Source organism: Homo sapiens, chromosome 12, assembly GCF_000001405.40.
Source record: "Homo sapiens chromosome 12, GRCh38.p14 Primary Assembly".
Taxonomy (NCBI): Eukaryota; Metazoa; Chordata; class Mammalia; order Primates; family Hominidae; genus Homo; species Homo sapiens.
In genome coordinates, this window is record NC_000012.12 from 66,373,080 (window position 1) to 66,392,867 (window position 19,788).

Consider the following 19,788-nt stretch of genomic DNA (forward strand, 5'->3'; position numbering starts at 1 on the left):
ATTTATTTATTTATTTATTTTCTTTTTTGAGATAGACTCTCACTCTGTCACCCAGGCTGGGGTGCAGTGGTGTGATCCTGGATCACTGCAACCTCTGCCTTCTTTGTTCAAGCAATTCTCGTGCCACAGCCTCCCAAGTAGCTGGGACTACAGGCATGCGCCACCATGCTTGGCTAATTTTTGTATTTTTAGTAGAGATGGATTTCACCATGTTGGCCAGGCTGGTCTGGAACTCCTGACCTCAAGTGACCCACCCCACTTAGCCTCCCAAAGTGCTGGGATTACAGGTGTAAGTCACCACGCCTGGCCATTCCTCCCAACTTATAGGTGAGGAACTGAGGCACGAAGAGGCTGACTCACCCAAGGTCACATTGGTAGTAAATGAGCCGAGGGCACTTTATAAAACTATTGATCATGAGGGAATACTGCAAAGTGAGTAGAGTTTTCATCTGTCACGTCTCTAAGATTTCATAGTTCCCAAATTCACCTGGTGTTCAGCTATACACACACTACTAACAAGATCTTTGAACAACAGCCAAGTGTTGGCACACATGTGCATATATCTAACAACTTTGTTGAAAAAGAAATGAAACAAGTAGACTATATCTTGACTAGATCAGTTATCTCACTGATAATTTTGAAAAAGAAAATTATAACTGTAAAAAGACTTGCTGATCACTGAACATTAACATGTGCTAAGTCCCATACAGATTGCATGTAGAATATCATTTAATACATAAGTAACCCTATACAATAGATATTAAAATTACCATACATCCTCATTTCAGTAAAGGAAAGAGATGCGTGGACAAGTTAAGCAACTTGCCCAAGAGCCTGGGCATGGAGCTCTAGTACTCTGACTCCAGAACTCTTTTTCTTGACTGCTTGGTGCTTCTCAGTCAAATGTTAGGTTGAATCATATAAAACTTCCTTTTTAGTAGGTAGAAAGATGCCTAGCATTTAAAAACAAGTGTGGGCTATTTATACAACAGTTTATTTCAGATAAATACCCTTTTTAAGTTGATTGAAACCTTTCTTTACTGGCTTCATTGGTGTCATGGGATATTCTTTATTTTATGGCACTTACTCATGTATATAATTTCTATGTTTTTTATTTTATTTTTTTTGAAATGGAGTTTCACTCTGTTGCCAGGCTGAAGTGTAGTGATGTGATCTTGGCTCACTGCAACCTCCACCTCCCGGGTTCAAGCGATTCTCTTGCCTCAGCCTCCCAAGTAGCTGGGATGACAGGTACCCGTCACCACGCCTGGCTAATTTTTGTATTTTTAGTAGATATGAGGTTTCTCCACATTGGCCAGGCTGGTCTCAAACTCCTGACCTCAGGTGATCCACCTGCCTCAGCCTCCCAAAGTGCTGGGATTACAGGCCTGAGGCACCGCACCTGCCCCATTTCTATGTTTAATCTAGTGTATCTGACAGCACTCATTGGTTGTTTTCTTGCCATGCTGACCATCCATTTATTATTTTTACCTACTTAGACTAGTTGTTTGCTTTGTTAACATCCATTTTTTAATATTCATTTTTCATGAGAATGACAGGACACATGTTGGAAGTAAAACAATCACTACAACTGAGAGACCACAGTTTTGCTTTGATGAGTCTTAGCTGCCATAGAAGAAATTACAGATTGATTTAGAAAAGGTTCTGATGGAAGAAATAAGATACTATCACTAATTCTTTGGTTCGCATTTTCAGGTAAGTATGTGAATCTGTACAGTAATCAAAGTTTGATTGCTTTGTTTAAAATGAACTTTAGGTAGCATCTAAGAAGGAACATAAAAGGTAAAACAAATATAAAAACTAAAATAAAAAGCTAAAAAATAATTATTTTTAATTACCTAGGATTTGCTTTGGTCTCAAGAGTATGTATTACCTGTTTTCATTTGCCATAATTCATGATTGTATATTATTCCTAAGGCAGCCTAGAGTTCTCTATCTGACATTTAGTTAAACCTTCTTCTTATATTATGCTAAACAAAAAATAGTTAAAGCAGTGATCATTAATCAAGAAAGGGCAAAAATACTAATAGTTAATTTTTATTGAATACTTAAGTGCCACATAATTATTAGCTCATTATAATTCCCATTTTTATAGAAGAAATATCTGATAAGAGAGGTTAAAAACTTGTCCAAAGACTCATTCAAATTTCTCTCCTTTGTTAAAACTATACATTTTTCGGTGCTAAAGTTGAACCTAAATTATTGCTAGCAATAGGGGAAATGATTAGTAAATTAATTTTCATTTCCATTTCAATTGTAATCATCTTTCATCTTAGCTAACCTTCTACATTTATTAGTATTATAGTGTGCTTTAACTTTTAATGCTGGATGTAAATTTAATATGCAAGAATCTAGCTCTAATATTTTTTGTATAATAGCATTTCCAATCAAGGGAATGGGGTTCATTTAAACCAATAAATAAATATTCTTTGTGATAAAAGTGTAAATATAACTAATTTATGAATTTGCCAATCATTCATCCTAGTTGAGGATTTAATTTCTCTTTGGCTTATAAATTCAACTCATTTGCTTTCTGCATTAATAATGTCAAGGGCCACATCTGTCTGGAGCTATGTTACAGCAAATTCATAGGCTGTGGCAACATAACATCTACTCTTACTGATGGATGTTGTTTTCATCAGATAACTCAATTTCTGGGTGAAAACAGAACCTGATTGTATCACTTTTTACATCATTTTCTTTTTGCCTAATGTAAAATAAGCTGTTAGAAAAACAACTTTTTTTCTTCAAAAGGGAAATATCAAAATGCACAATGAAAAAGCAGGATGAGCCAAAACATGCTTTCAAAAGCAGGGCTATGTTCAAGAATTGTGAATTGTGCTCGTTACTCAGTTTGGGCTACTTTTCTTCATCATTCTACATGCAGAAGGTGGTACAGGTTTAAATAAGCCAGCTGATACTTCAGCATTCTGCTCTTTTTGAAAGTTGTATAAAAATGAATCATTGCTAACATCTTACTTCATTTAGATTTTATAGGATTATCCATGTCCAGGACCTTTAACTGTGCTCTGAAGCTGCAATTCATGCCAGATAATACTATGATGTTTACAAGTTCAAACTAATAGTTTTCTTTATAATTCTCTTTGCAGATTCACAAACATTAGAATCACATAAAATAACCACACATGCAATTGAGAAGCAAAATAATATAAAGATGAGTAATCATTTTAGAATTGCAAGAGTTTCACCCCATTATGCCATTCACATTCCTTATGGTGACTTGGGGACCTCATAAGACATCAAAATAAAAATGAGACTTTTGCCACTTTATTTTTTACAGCTCAGAAAATTTAAAAGAACATAAAAGGAAACAGTCCAGGACTTCCTAGACTAAAGTGTGAATACCATCAGCAAATTCATGGCTTTGATTAAAGAACTCACCAGGAGTTCAGCTATTACATTCCATCTCGTTCTTCCTTGAATTCACACTAAGTTAATACAGATGGAATCAGGATTTACAATTAACAGCAATGTACTGTGTAATATTTTTGCTGCTTATCAAATAGACTGGCCTTTTTCACCAGCTGCATTGTCATCTACTTTAAGGACAAAACAAAGTAAAATAAAATTTCCTCTTATGTTCCTCTTAACGATCACATTAATTTCTATTCCAGGTACAAATGAAAACATGCCAAAGAAACCTTTCTAAAGCAACTAAGAGAATGGGATGCGCCGCTGCTGGGAGACTTAGCTCGCTTTTTAGCGATTTGGTAGGAAACAGATACAATCAGGGTTAGCAGGGAGCAATGGCAGAAGCCACAAGTCAGTAAGCTTGAGGGGTGGAGATGGGGATATACTTTTGACTGCATTGTATAAAATCAAATTGCTGTCCAGAAGGCAAGGGGGTAGGGAAGGCAGCTTCACAAGCAAAAATATAAACATAAAGGGTAGCTACCAAGAGAGTCATGTTTCTCAAAGACACACGCCTGTCAGCTTTCTCCTGTGGAAAGGGTTAAAGCTTTTAAATGAACTGGTGTGAGAAATGCAAACTTAAAAGGACCAAAAAAAATGAATGTAGAAACAATAAAAGTAAGTAGCAGGACCAAGGCTACCTCCAGTTCTCTCAGAATTCCTGACTGTCCGCAGGTTTCCAAATCCTCCAGCGCTTGAGACCAGAAGTTCTCCTCTTGTTCTGTCTCTGCACTATCGGCAGCCCCTGCAAAACTGTTGTCAAGAAACACAGGCTGGGTTAGGAACTTGCCAGACATTTTTTTTTTTTTTTTTGAGACGGAGTCTCTCTCTGTCGCCCAGGCTGGAGTGCAGTGGCGCAATCTCGGCTCACTGCAAGCTCCGCCTCCCGGGTTCACACCATTCTCCTGCCTCAGCCTCCCGAGTAGCTGGGACTACAGGCGCCTGCCACCACGCCTGGCTAATTTTTTTTTTTTTTTTTTGTATTTTTAGTCGAGACAGGGTTTCACCGTTTTAGCCAGGATGGTCTCGATCTCCTGACTTCGTGATCCGCCCGCCTCGGCCTCCCAAAGTGCTAGGATTGTAGGCGTGAGCCACCGCACCCGGCCTTTTTTTTTTTTTTTTTTGGATTCAGAATATCTCTCCTTCATCTCACACGAAATATAGAAAGAGAGTCATTTTGGATCTGGCTTTCTTCCACCTGTGCCCTCCAAGAGTATGAGCTTCAGCAGAGGGACGCTTTAGGAAATGCAGTGTTGTGAAGATGGAAAGGATGGTCCATGGTCTTACTACCGGATTTCAGACTATTTGTGGCTGCTGCTAAATGGGCTGCAGCCACATGGCCCTGTTGGAATGGGATGGAACGTCGGAAATGTATTTCAGCTGCTATATCTACAAGGAACGAGAAATCAAATTTTTCTCTAAGAGAGAAACATGTGTTTTTCTCACTTATTTAAAGATCATTATAAGTAAACCAAATGCTATCAGTTTTTATAAATTTCCTTAAAATGTTTTGGTAAGGAACAAAATGGTAAAATATACTTTGCTGAAAAGATGGATCCATGAGGTATCTTTTAAAAAAAAAAAAAAGTAACTTAATGTGAAACTAACTTTTAAAAGAAAGGAGAGGGGCCCAGTGCAGTGGCTCACGCCTGTAATCCCAGCACTTTGGGAGGCCTAGGTGGGCAGATCACTTGAGGTCAGGAGTTTGAGACCAGCGTGGCCAACATGGTGAAACCCTGTCTCTACTAAAAATAACTAAAAACACAAAAATTAGCTGGGCGTGTTGGCAGGTGCCTGCAGTCCCAGCTAATCGGGGGTCTAAGGCAGGAGAATTGCTTGAACCTGGGAGGTGGAGGTTGCAGTGAGCTGAGATCATACCACTGCACTCCAGCCTGGGTGACAGAGTGAGACCTTGTCTCAAAAATAAAAAATAGGCTGGGCACGGTGGCTCACACCTGTAATCCCAGCACTTTGGGAAGCTGAGGCAGGCGGATCATGAGGGTCAGGAGTTCGAGACCGGCCTGGTCAACATGACAAAACCCCATCTCTAGTAAAAATACAAAAATTAGCCAGGCGTGGTGGTGCATGCCTGTAATCCCAGCTACTCGGGAGGCTGAGACGAGAATCACTCAAACCCAGGAGGCAGAGGTTGCAGTGAGCTGAGATGGCACCACTGCACTCCAGCCTAGGCAATAGAGCGATACTCCATCTCAAAAAATAAAATAAAAAATAAAAGTAATACAATATAAAATTAAAAAACAAAAATTAGGCACATGTGGTGGCACAGGCCTATAATCCCAGCTACTCAGGAGGCTGACGCATGTGAATCGCTAGAACCTGGGAGATGGAGGTTGCAGTGAGCCGAGATCTTGCCATTGCATTCCAGCTTGGGCAGCAGAGTGAGACTCTGTCTCAAAAAATAAAAAAATAAATAAATAAAATAAAATAAAGGAGGGGGACCTACTTGTCATAAGGAAGGGAGTGCAAAGTTTATAGAAGCAGCTTCTCCCCAGGTGCTACTACTGTTTTCGTTAGGGGAAACCCAGCTCTTGCCCTGTTGTGTGGTGCCCAGGTTGCCACTGGTCAGGCAGCTTTTAGAATCCTGCCATGTGGCCAGCATGGATGATTATGGTGGCTTTAAGAAGCCCATACTAACAATATGTGCTACTGGAAGTACAGAAGTTCAAATCTTGCCCACATGACCATGCAGTCATCTTGGATGAGGCAGCATTGGTTGAAAACCTTACCCACTGGCTGTGGACCGGTCCCAGTCTTCATAACTCAGCCCCACATCTGGGTAAGTCTGGCTTCGAGGCTTAGTGACTGGGGACAAGCTGCCTCTCTGTTTTGGACTCCTCCAGTCATAGGTGTTGAAATTGTATCCTGAGGCCTGAAAACTAGTGCCTAAAATATAAACAAGGTGTTAGCATTGGGCCCAAGGATTACTTAATCCATTGAGAAATGACATTGTTAACCAGTAGAGGAGTCAAATTATAACGGCAATGACAATAACAATAGTGAACACATAGTGTGTGCTTATTGTGCACCAAAGACTTCACCAAGTACTTCATTTTGAGCCATCTTTCTTCTTTAGAGCCATCTTTGGAGGTAGATACTCCTATTATTTGCATTTTACAGATGAGGACACGGACGGCTTAGAACAGTGGTTTCAAGTACCTAAGGCTATTTGCAAACTTTCTTGGGAGTTCAAGTCATAATTTTTGGAGAATCGGTTTTCAGATCCTCAAGTTCTAGATGCACTTCTTCCCCAAACTGGCTTAGCTGAGATCTGCCAGTTAGTGCTCCCTTCTCATTTCCTCTTTCACAACTGTACTCCTGCCACTTTACAAACAAAAGACATATTTCTCATCCATTTCAAATCTTTTTTCTTGAGATGGAGTCTTGCTCTGTCATCCAGGATGGAGTACAGTGGTACGATCTCGCCCCACCACAACCTCCTCCTCCCGGGTTCAAACAATTCTCCTGCCTCAACCTCCCAAGTAGCTAGGATTACAGGAGTGCACCACCACACCCAGCTAATTTTTTTTTTTATTTTTAGTAGAGACAGGGTTTTACCATGTTGGCCAGGATGGTCTTGAACTTCTGACCTCAGGTGATCCACCCACCTCGGCCTCCCAGAGTGCTGTGATTACAGGTGTGAGCCATCGTGCCGGCCCCATTTCAAGTATTTGAAAGTGCTTGGGCCCTGGGATATAAACTCCTAGTTGCCAATTCAAGGGATAATTTGGGAAAGACTTGTTCCTGTGATGAGGTCTGTTGGGAGCAAGGCCTTATTTCAACCAGGCACAAACTCACAGCAAGGCTTTCACCCCTCTCTCTTGTCCATCTCTCATGCTGCCTCAGAGAACTCAGAAGGGCAACGGATGTCAGGGATAAGAAGCCTGCTGCGTTTATTGTTTATTTGAATTGCAAAATGCTGACTTTTTTCCACCAGGGAGTTACATCTGATTAGCCTGATGGGTGAGACAGTGAGGAATGGCTTTGGCAATTATGTTACATAATGGACACTTTCCACAAAAGTATTTCCAAGCTGTAGTTCCAAGATTTTGATAGAAATGTTTTTAAAGCATTTTTACAACAAACTGGAAATTATAGTCTTTGCAAGTATTTACATTTTGTGAGAAAAACATTTAGACAACAACTTTTAGTAGGTGATGGGGTATGTGGTTCTTTAAAATTATTATGGGGGTTCAAGTGGGGCTCGATTGTAGGTCTGATTCCATAGCTTGTGCTGTAATCATCACATACGCCTTCATCCACTACCTCAGGTTGTGACTTGTGTGTGTGCATGTGTATTTACATGGATGCGCTGGCTTGGAATATGGTATGTGTTTCTTACTGTACTTAAATCATTTAATACAGCAAACAGACCTGTACCCGCATTTTCAGGTACAGTTAAATGGCCTGATTGCGTAAGATGATTCTGTCTCCATGATATCCCTGCTTCCTCTTCCCCATTCACTTTCTCTCCACCTGTTGTCGAAGCCTCTAATGCCATTTTTGCTACTAGTTTAAAGCCCAAGCAGAGCAGGATATCTGAAGGATAATACTCTCTGATCAAAAGGATTTGATCTTAAGAACCCAGGGCAATGCCTACCACCACATGATGGAAATACTCTAAGAACCTTCTATTTTAGGACACCAAGGATTAGAAGACCTTGGAGCAGAGGAAATATTTACAGTTCAATGTCTCATTCTCTTTTTCCTAGATAACTGCAAAAGTGTGGTTAGCCATCTGGGAAGAAGTCTTATGAATGCAGTTTTCTGTCAAAAGTGTTGACTTAAGGAAACACAGATGTGTCTTCTCTTGAAGGGGAACTAAGTAGCTGTGAATTTCATCCTGGCTCCCTCTGATGGACTAACCATTTTCCCCTTCTGAACCAATCAAACCAACCCCAAATACATGAAGTCTCAGCTTTTATAATACAAAGAGTTTGGGGAAGCCTGTACCTCACTTAAACTGGTTTCAACCCTCAACCTTTCAAAGAGCCAATGCTAATTGGTGGTGTCTTCCTGGAGTATCCTTTTCTGATAAACATTAACCCCGATGACCACTGAATTCCCTGGTGAAATTTCAACATTTTAGACTGATTTTCTTTCCAACTGTTGTATGTATAATAAGTAGTTCTTGGAGACTTAGGCAAGAGTGCAAGAATGGGCTTGAGCAGATGTGCACCACCATCAGTAGGAAACTGCTAACCTTGAAAGGCATGTGTATCTCTAATAAGGATGCCTTGTCTTAATAAGCACTATTAAATGATTATTGCATTACAACAAAGCAGAGAAAGAAAAGGGGATAAGATTCAAATCTCTGGGTGAAATGTAAAGTCAGAAAACCTGATCCCAGCTCTTCTCTAGTCCGTGCTACGCTGACCCAGAGATTAAAGTAAGAAAAGTTGACCAGGTGCGGTGGCTCACGCCTAGCACTTTGGGAAGCCAAGACAGGCAGATCGCTTGAGCTTAGGAGTTTGAGACCAGCCTGGGCAATAATCCGTCTCTACAAAGAAAAAAAAGACAAATCCCAAACCCCTCAAAATTAGCTGGGCATGGTGGCGCATGCCAGCTACTTGGGGGGCTGAGGCAAGAAGATTGCTTAAGTCTGGTTGTTGAGGCTGCAGTGAGCCAAGTTTGCACCACTGCACTCCAGTCTGGGTGACAAAGTGAGATCCTATCTCCAAAAAATAAAAGTAACTGGGCATGGTTATGCATATCTGTAATACCAGCTACTTGAGAGGCTAAGAGGATCCCTTGAGCCCAGGAGTTCGAGACCAGTCTGAGCAACATAAAAAGACCCTGTCTCAAAAATAAATAAATAAACAAATAAATAAAACTTAATAAAAGTAAGAAAAGACCAAGGTTCAAATCCTAGCTTAGCCACTTCCTCACTTCACAGCCTGGCCAATTAACCTCAGTGTAAAATGGGGATAACAATAGGTAGTTTACCAGGTTGATAAGAAAATGAAGAAGAATGAATGCACACCTTATGAAAGTGCCTAGAACACAAGGAGGTTTTAATGAACACAGATGCCCATTGTTACTATATACTAAGCCCTTCAACCTCTCAAGATCTCAGTTTCCTTATCTTTAAAGTAGGGAGACAAGGAAAAGAGGTAAGTCTCAGCATCATTAATGCAGTAAACACTTGGGTGTCTCTTAAGTATCAGATACTATATATCAGGAACTAAAATGCAAAGGGAAATAAAACTGATTCCTGTCCTCAAAAACTGCATTGTTTGGTATATGTATAGGAGAAGGAGAAGAAAGAGGCATAGAAAGTGAGTTCTAGTAGCATGTGAAAGTGTCATCCTTTTAGTCTTAATGCACTAATATGGAAGGACAGAGACAGGTTTGGGGATTAGAAGGTGGGTCATGAAGGGTGCCAAAGGAAAAATGACATATAAGCTTGCAGTTAGATAGCAGGTCAGCATTTACTAGTTGGAACTGTTGGGTAAGACAGTACATGGTGGGCACAGTGGCTCATGCCTGTAATCCCAGCACTTTGGGAGCCTGAGGCAGGTGGACCACCTGAGGCCAGGAGTTCGAGACCAGCCTGGCCAACATAGCGAAAGCCCATCACTACTAAAAATACAAAAATTAGCTGGGTATTGTGATGCATGCCTGTTGTTTCAGCTACTCTGGAGGCTGAGGCAGGAGAATCTCTTGAACCCGAGAGGTGGAGGTTGCAGCGAGCTGAAGGCATGCCACTGCACTCCAGCCTGGGCGACAGAGCGACACTCTGTCTCAAAAACAACAACAACAACAACAACAACAACAACAACAACAACAACAACAGACAGTGTTGGCCAAGTAGAAGAGAGCCTGGTAAAGGTGCAGTCAGGGTAAACAGGTCCTCGATTCTATCAGTGGGTCTCTGTTCTACTCCTAAGAAGGGAAAAGTATTCCAGGAATATTCTGGGCCCTCTTACCATGTGTACTTATTCCTCCCCATAGGAGGAATGTGATTTACCCAACTGGTGAGTTTTGGAAAAGAACATTGGGCATGTCACTCAGCCCATTCCTGGCTTTCTCTGGACGCTTTCTCTCCCACTGCTGCTGTGCTGTGCGGTAAGCAAGCCTGGGTCACAATCTTGGGGCTCTCTGAGCTTGATGGAGGCAAGAAAAGGCATGACTAGGCAGTTGGATAACCATGGCAGACTACCTGTTGCTCATCAGAACATTCATTCTCTTCTTCGTCCTTAGTACCAGAATACCAGTTTCGGGGTGAGCAAATTATTGCTCAGACTAAAACTATACTTCTTAGCTTCTCTCAAAGCTAAGTGCAACTTAGTGAAATGTTCTGGTCAATGACGTAGCTAAGGGGACTTCTGAGAAGGCTCCTTACATCTTTGCTACTGCTGTCTGGAATGCAAATGAAATTGCTGGAGCCCCAGTAACTGTCTTGGACTATGAGGTGACCCCAAGGATGAAAGTCAAGTGCTAAGCAAAACAGAGCCGAAATATTTAGAAGCATGGGCCTCTGATGACACTGTGGAGTTACATACCAGCTCGAAGTGCCTGTTTCTTTATAATGTAAGTCAATGTATTATTAGAGTTTTCAGTTCTCTTCAGCTGAACCTAATCTCATTGATTGGTAACCAGTTCAGTTATGGTTTGCTGTGTAGATCTGACTTGCGTCTTATTTAAATTTAAATGTCTAGACTTGGGTTGAGGGTAGGAAAATAATTATCCTGATTCTGGCTGCAGGACCAATCCAGCTTTTTCTAGCAAAAAAATAAAATGAAATGCTGATATTTTAATCCATAGCTGACTCTCATTTCTATTTCTCAATGGATTTGAAACCGATTAAGAGGTTAATTAACATATCAAAATACCTAGTGTTATCAAGATACCAAAATGCAAAGCTTGCTTAGAGAATTGTGAGATATTCCGGGTATGTGTACTAAAAGGTACTGCAAGGAAGTGTCAGCAGATGGACTGACAAAGTATTTGGGGACTAGATTACAAAGAACCCTGTGTTTTAAACTGAAGACCTTTGACTTTATCCTATAACAATAGATAACCATCAAAAGAGGGTTTTTTTGGTTTAAGGGAGTGGCATGACTAGATTTGGTTTTGCTAAAGATTATAGATAGAAATGTGGGAAAAGATGCTCAAAGTAAGAAGATAAGTGAGGAAGGAGTTACCATATTTCATCAGGCCTGAAACAAAGGCAGTGGCAATGGAGGGACATCAGAGATGCTAAGTGAGTAGAGGGAGTGAGATACCTGGGTCCTGATGACACCATGGGAAAAATAAATCCTGATGTTGCTTAAATGCCATCACTTAAATTTTGTTTCGTATGTAGAAGAAAATCTTCAAATCAGCTAAACTTGACCTTTAACTGATACAGCTGGCTGGTGATACCATGATTTAAAAGAGGGAATATCTGAGGAAAATTATGTTTAGGTAAAAGGCAAACCTGTTGCCATTACTGATAAAAAGTTAACAGGCTCTGAGGAATATTCCTTTACACCAGGAGTCAAGCTTAAAAGCCAGGGAATAAATGAGGCAGCCCAGGCGTAAGAAAAAATCAACTGCCAGATAGATAATGAAATTTTTTTTGTTGTTGAATGATGGTGTAAGCACATGAAATACACATATAATATTGGAAACTACATTTTAAATTAAAAATTGATAAAATAAATAAGTTGAAAAAAGAAATAATGTTTTTTAAATGTACTGGCCAGGCACGGTGGCTCAGGCAGGGCACGGTAGCTCATGCCTGCAATCCCAGCACTTTGGGAGGCTGAGGCGGGCAGATCACCTGAGGTTAGGAGTTCAAGACCAGCCTGGACAACATGGCGAAACACCATCTCTACTAAAAACATAAAAATTAGCTGGGCGTGGTGGTGGGCACCTGTAGTCCCAGCTACTTGGGAGGCTGAGATAGGAGAGTCACTTGAACCTGGGAGGCAGAGGTTGCAGTGAGCCAAGATCGCAACATTGTACTCCAGCCTGGGTGATAAAAGCAAAACTCGGTCTCAAAAAATAAAATAATAAAAAATAAATAAAATGTATGGTCCTAAGTCATTTCTCCTTTGGATTATTTATTTATTTATTTATTTATTTATTTAGACACAGAATCTCACTCTATCGCCCAGGCTGGAGTGCAGCAGCATGACCTTGGCTCACTGTAACCTCCACTTCCCAGGTTCAAGCAATTCTCCTGCCTCAGCTTCCTGAGTAGCTGGGATTACAGACACACACCACCACACCCAGCTAATTTTTGAATTTTTAGTAGAGACAGGGTTTCACCATGTTGGCCAGGCTGATTTCGAACTCCTGACTTCAAGTGATTGCCTGCCTTGGCCTCCCAAAGTGCTGGGATTACAGATGTGGGCCTGCATGCCTGGCCTCCTTTGGTTTAGAATTGGCAACTTTTTCTTCTTTCCTTCTTTATTTTACATCTGGGTTTCCATATCTGATCTTATACTTTGTATCCTAATAGGAGGTATAAAATTTAGTCCAGATTCCTTTCACTGATATTAATGTTTAGTTTTATTTATTTGCATAATGGAAAACAGGTCTTCATAAAAAATAGGTCTTTATTTGCACAAGTGGAAAACAGCAAAGTAGGTATTTCTGAAAGTAGATGGAATCTTGATAGGATGATTTTTATTTTTAGGGTAACTATGCCTTAGATATTTGTAAAATTCTAACATTCCAACCTTGTAATATTTGGTTTTCTGTACTAATACAGATTAATATTTGTAGCTTTTAATTCATACCCAGCATTAATTTAGAAAAGTGAACTAATCAGTGTGGGTTCATATTCATAAAGTTTAGAATTCAATTTTCGGCCGGGCGCTGTGGCTCACGCCTGTAATCCCAGCACTTTGGGAGGCCGAGGCAGGTGGATCGCGAGGTCAGGAAGATCAACACCATCCTGGCTAACACAGTGAAACCCCATCTCTACTAAAAATACAAAAAATTAGCTGGTCGTGGTGGTGGGCGCCTGTAGTCCCAGCTACTCGGGAGGCTGAGGCAGGAGAATGGCATGAACCCGGGAGGCGGAGCTTACAGTGAGCTGAGATCGCACCACTGCACTCCAGCCTGGGTGACAGAGCGAGCCTCCGTCTCAAAAAACAAAAAAAGAAAAAAAAATAGAATTCAATTTTCATCTCAACAATTTTGGGACTGTAGCTCTTGCCATTACTTTCATTCTTGGAAACCAATTTTAGTACAGGAAAGAGAGCCAGTTAATTCGCTGCCAAATTTGTTTTCTAAAGACCCAGTTTTGTGAAGGATGAGAAAATCAAATCATATGTTTGTGTAACTATTTGTAATTGATCTTGCCAAGAAATATTCAAAGTATTCAGATGAGGCTGTGATCTAAATGTCAATGCAAAGACAGTTCTCTCTTCTCTCAGAAATCACCTCAAGACAAAAAGTAATGATAAATAACAGAATGCAACCTCCATCTTAATCACAACTAGAGTGTTCATGTAATCTCAGACCATAATACATAAGAAAATACATAATACATAAATCCAGTGGAAGTCAAATGGGAAGGGGGTGGTGGTGGTAAGAAGTGGAGAGAAGACACCTATGGCCAGGACTACCAAACTACTCTTTGGTAGACAACTCAGTCTACCAAAGCAGGGGCGGTGGCATGAGGCAAAACTCCAATGCTTTGTTTGGAACACCAGTATGCACTGCATGGCTGGTGGCAGAAAGTACATGTGATCCCATCTGGCATCAAGGTAAAGTCAGGGAAAGAGAACACATGTCACAGACTGAAGGGAGCAATTGCTCAATGAGGCAGGATAGCAGAGAGGAATTCTGTTTTGTGAGCAGCCTGCTGTTGCTGCTCTCTGGTAGCTGGGGAAGAATTTACTCACACATACCATGCTGGAACTGGGGTGTGTTTGGTACCTTGGAAACAGAGCCTCTAGCAGCTTCCAGTTCAGGAAGAACTCATCTCATTCAGTGGTGAGCAGTAATTGAAAAGGAATTGGCATAACATGTATACCAAGTAAATATCAGACAAATGAGAGCAAAGGCATAGAAAAACAAAGCGATAGCAGATGAAGAATACTCATGAGAAAAAGCCTGGTTCAGAGCAAATGATAAACATGACCAATCAGAAATAATCACAAAATTTAAAAAATACACAGCAAAGCCATCACCTCTATAAAACAAGAGATCAAAGCAGAAATATAAGAACTCTAGAGAAATTGGGCAAGGCAAGATGATGATGAAACATGAGCTTGTAGAGATCAGAAGAGAAACGAAAGAGAAAAATAAAATCCTGCTAATGAGTAGAGGAGGATACCATTGGGTTTCTACTCTGTGCTATCCTCTGTATGATTTGTATTCTTTAATGACATTAAATAAAGTTGGACTCTGACTGCACATGTTGGTGTCCTTTCAGTTATCATCCTTATGAAAACACAAAGAAGGAATATATCCTTATAAAGCAATGAAAATAAATAAATCATGCATCCAACTTAAGTCATAAAAGGAATAAAATTTAAAAGGAACTGAATGAAAGAGTAAAATTAAAAGTAAAATTGTACGTAAAAAAAAAAACTAGAGTAAAACTAATAAATAAATGCAAGAGTCAGTTCTCTGGGAAAAAATAAAAACCAAACAAAGAAATCAAATAAACTGTTACTAATCGAATCATGGGGAAAATAATAAAACCACAAATATACCAATTAAGGAACAATATTATGGATATAATTATAGAAACTGAGAAAATAAAAAATTAAAAAAGAGATTAATTATATAAAATACATTTGACATCTGGATGAAATAATTTCATTTTCTGAGAGAAAACAAATGATCAAAATGACCTCAAAAGGGAGAAAAATAAGATAGAAATATAGCTATCTGAGTTGAGAGTCCAAAGTTACAGAGAGCACAAGAGCTATTCAGCCCGCGAGCATGGCAGTCTATGTACCACCACCAATTTGCCAGTCTCCTCTTGTATTGACCTTTGCTAAATCCAAGTAAAGCAGTCATAGGGTTTTCTCAGAGTTAGAAGGAAGAATTAATAAGATGCAAGGAGGCCAAATGCCTAAGATTTTGATAAGGCAGAAGGGCATGAGGCATCTAATGGGCAAGACAATGGGGAGTGAAAGAAGCTGACCTGGAGGCCAACTGGAAGAAGTCAGCCACACAGTGGAACTGAGAATCAGCCCCTTGTGGGACTTCCTTAAACATATCCCTTCTTTCCCCACAAGGTTTCGTCATTCCATTCTATTTCCCTTTTCACTAACGAAGTGATAGGGCCACTGTTTGTTTATTTGTTAACTGACTGTCCCTTCAGCTGGGTAACCTCTTCCATGGGAGCAGAGACCATGTCTCCTTTGTCCAAGAGTGTATCCACATGGTCTATGGGCCTGATATTGAGCCAGTCATTACATACTGGTTGAAGGAATGAATGGAGCAAGCTTGATATTTTAGAGAAGAAGGAGAGAACAGTAAGGAATGTTGCTGCAAAGACATCGATTTCCAGCCCCAGGAGGAAGATGTGCATTATGGAGTCTCCTGGGAACAAGGCAACTATTACAGCCTTAAAGGGAACAGAGAGAATGTGCAGGGGCTTCCTGGAACAAGGCAGAGAGCCTGCTGAGAGGCTGGAGGGACAGGTTGGAGAGATAAGCTGTATCTCACAACATAATATTGAATAGGAAAAATAAAAGTGTGGTTCTATGCCTTGCTTTTATTTTTGTTTTAATTTTTTTTGAGACGTAGTCTTGTTCTATTGCCCAGGCTGGAGTGCAGTGGCATGATCTTGGCTCACTGCAATCTCCGCCTCCTGGTTCAAGCGATTCTCCTGCCTCAGCCTCCCGAGTAGCTGGGATTACAGGTGTGTGCCACCACGCCTGGCTAGTTTTTGTATTTTTAGTAGAGATGGGGTTTCGCCACGTTGCTCAGGCTGGTCTTGAACTCCTGACCTCAGGTGATTTGCCCACCTCAGCCTCCCAAAGTGCTGGGAATATAGGCCTGAGCCACTGCACCCAGCTGTGCCTTGCTTTTAAAAAGTCAACCTCACAAGCACAATCTGGAGAGATGCAGTTTAACTGAATATCACGGGTAAAGAAAAAAAAACACATTCACAAGACTTTGAGATCTCGGTAAACTGTAAGCGCAAAATGAGTGACAGATGTGCCATGACCACTAAAATTCTTATGTTGAGGTAGGTGTCATTGATCAGTTCTCCTGTCTTCAATGATGCCAGTGACCAGCTTGCTTTGCTCCGGGCTGTCGGGCTGTTGTGTGATTTTCCTTTCTGAATGTTACACTTTAACGGGTACACAGGTAAACTGAAGCACATTCGTAAGGGAGGTCCACAGGACGATACAGATACTCGTCAGTAAATTATAGAAGACACAGTTAAAGGAACTGGGGCTATTTTGCTTGGAGAAGGAAAGCCTCAACAGAGACCCAATAGCTGTCTTCGAGTATCTAAGGGGCTGTCAGGAGAAGAGGCTTTAGTCTAGTGCAGAATGACCTTGAGGGTATAGCCGGGACTATTAGGCATACTGCAGCTCAATACAAGTGAGAGCTTTAGAGTCATCAGAGCTACGTGGAGATGGGGGGCTGCCTCAGCACAAGGAACAACCTGTCACCTTGGGCATTCAAGTCCATGCAGCGTGTCTTGGCGTGCAGTGAGGCAGGACCTGGCACCAAGGGCTGCACTGGACATCAGACTAGCTGACTCCTAAACCCTTTCCAAACCTGAAATCCTGCCTTCAGCTCCCATGTTCGTCACAAGAATTAATGGGGATTAGTTATGTGAAAGTGCTTTGTAAACTCTAGAGTGTTCTATATATATAAAGGGTTATTACTATTTTTTCATTACCTTGGAGTACTTCGATTCTATCCTGATTGCCATTGTCTCTACTTATCCCTCAGTTCCCTTCAACCTCATAAAAATGTCTAAATTATAAATGCAAAATGTAATATTATGACTATGATTCAAAATTTCAAAATGCTTCACAAATAGTAAATGGTTTTTCATCTTTTACTAGTGAGGGGCAGGTCCTATATTCAGTTTGCTTCTCATGGTCCTGTGTCTGTGGTTTCAAGGGATGGAGTAGCTAAGGTCTTACAGATCACCTTACAGGGAAGAACTAATTAATATCAATAGCACCCTCACAAAAATCTCTGGTAACAAAAATATCTCTACATTAATAAGCAATACACAAAAAATACACAAATAAATAACCAATACACAATAAATTGATAAATAAACCTGAGTCTACTCTGATAGAATGTGACTTCTGTCCTTTACTCAGTGTCTTCTGGTGGCCCATCAATTCTCAGGCAATCAGAAGGTCTGTTATTTGGTGGCATAGGTGAACTTGTCACAAGGTATTATGACTTGGAAAAATTAATTGCCAGATAAAGCCCCAATTCTACTTAGGTGTTCAAAGTATTTTCCCCACCTAACTCCAGTATCATCTCTAATGAAAGTAACAACTTGACAACTTTGAAATATCATCTCCTTTCATTTTTTTTTCCAGTTTTTTCTCCCTTCCATTTTTGTTTTTTGTTCACCAGAGGACTTAACAGAGAGTGACACAACATAGGCAGGCTGAGAGAAGGAAACTAGGAAAACCAGGAGAGAGCAAACTGGATACAGACACTCCTAAAAAGTACAGTTAACTCAGTGACAAAGCAGCCCTCACACCAATGTGTTCTCTAAACTGTTTATGTGTTTTATTATTTGACTGACTGAAACCCAGAGCAAACAAGGGATTCAGAGGCTGGAATTTACATAGAACATGAGAGAAGGTAAGGCTCAGATGAGGAGAAATACCAAGAAGTTTTGACATACTTCTCTTGTTGATGCTACGGATCACTGGGAAGAAAATATTTTTTAAAAGAAGCTATTAGTTTATGCTCTGTATTCAGTCTGACACCTTTTATGTGTTTATATTCCATGAGTGAGGCTTTTTAATGTAGATAGTATTTCTTCACATGACGATGACACCTATGAAGAAAAATCTACTCTATACTTTCCTATATTGTGATTATAGTGCTCTAATTATAAACATTCAGGGAAAGGGCATGGTGGCTCATGCCTATTATCCTAGCACTTTGGGAGGCCAAGATGGGAGGATTGCTGGAGGCCAGAAGTTTGATACCAGCCTGGAGAACATGACAAGACCCCGTATCTACAAAAATTTAAAAATCAGCTGGGTGTGGTGGTGTGTGCACATAGTCTCAGCTACTGAGGAGACTGAGGCAGCAAGATCCCTTGAGTCCAGGAGTTTGAGACTATAATGAACTATGATGGTGCCAGGGTATTCTAGCTGGGGTGACAGAGTGAGACCCAGTCTCTAAAAGAAAAAAAAAAGTCAGGAGTGTGCAGGAATAAATAGAGTCACAAATCATTGGCTAATCTCTTATGCACCTCTTCCAAACTCCCCAATCCATCTTTGTGGAAAGCTTGCTGAAAAATAAGGCAATGGGGCCTGTATTGAACGAGCCACTTTATTGTATGGTTTGCCTCACATTAATCTAAGCTTGAAGGACAAGCCCTGGATGGGATACTTGGCCATCAGTAGACCTAATGGAGGCCTGTTAGTGTTTGGTAAAGGTTCATGCCTTATAAGCACTAGAAGAAAATGCATGGCCAGCAGAGTGTAAGTATTCAATGTGTTCAATATGATTATGGCTGCACCAAAGCAGACACAAGTTAAAGAAAGATATTCTCCTCATGGAGCAGAGGATGAATCTTGGAGAAGCATGGGCTTCAACAATGACAAGTCCTCTGGGGGACAAAGTAAAGACATACCTTGAGTTCCATAGCTGGTGTCTATTGCAGACCCATCCCATGAATCCACAGCACTGTCCACACTGGGCACCGTGGAGGGGTACATGTCGGAGAGCTTGCCTGGCTTCTGTGCTGGTGAGGAGTCCTCCTCCACATCCCCCAGGTCACTCAAATGGCTAGAAATAGGGAACTTCTTGGGGCTCGATGCTGACTGGGCTTTATAGACAGGAAAGGAGTTTAAGTATCAGAGTAAATTTAAATAAAAATATACCAAGATACTCCGTGGCTAGAGATTTGTTTCCCTAGAATTACACACAGACACTAGCACATTCTTTCAAGGAAGAAAATGCACTGGAAATCCTTAATTGTGGCTTTCAATTCACTACTCACCATCTGTCTGTTTCTTAATTTTCAAGGTGACAGTCTCTCCTGCCATCTGTAACAAATGGATGGCTTCACTCAGAGGCTTCCCTTTCAAGCTGCTGCTATTGATGGCTAGGATTCGGTCTCCTATGTGGATTGCGCCAGTTCTGAAAAGCCAAATAGTAATAGGAGAGGTAGAAATAATCCCTGTATGGTAC

At 40.7% G+C, this 19,788-nt stretch overlaps 1 protein-coding gene across 22 annotated transcripts in view; it reads right to left on the bottom strand.

Annotated features, from left to right (window-relative positions):
* GRIP1 (glutamate receptor interacting protein 1) overlaps positions 1-19,788 on the bottom strand; it is a 721,908-nt gene that overhangs the window by 25,649 nt on the left and 676,471 nt on the right. For 14 of the 22 annotated variants that reach the window (XM_047428622.1, NM_001379351.1, NM_001439323.1 and 11 more), the window contains 4 exons: positions 19,598-19,737; positions 19,229-19,423; positions 6,201-6,357; positions 4,095-4,206 (listed from right to left, as the gene is read on the bottom strand). In XM_047428622.1, coding sequence (XP_047284578.1) covers positions 4,095-4,206; positions 6,201-6,357; positions 19,229-19,423; positions 19,598-19,737 — 604 coding nt within the window. Of the gene's footprint in view, positions 1-3,937; positions 3,983-4,094; positions 4,207-6,200; positions 6,358-19,228; positions 19,424-19,597; positions 19,738-19,788 lie in introns of all 22 variants that reach the window. The other 8 variants (XM_005268757.5, NM_001379349.1, XM_005268754.5 and 5 more) reach the window with 1 other exon arrangement.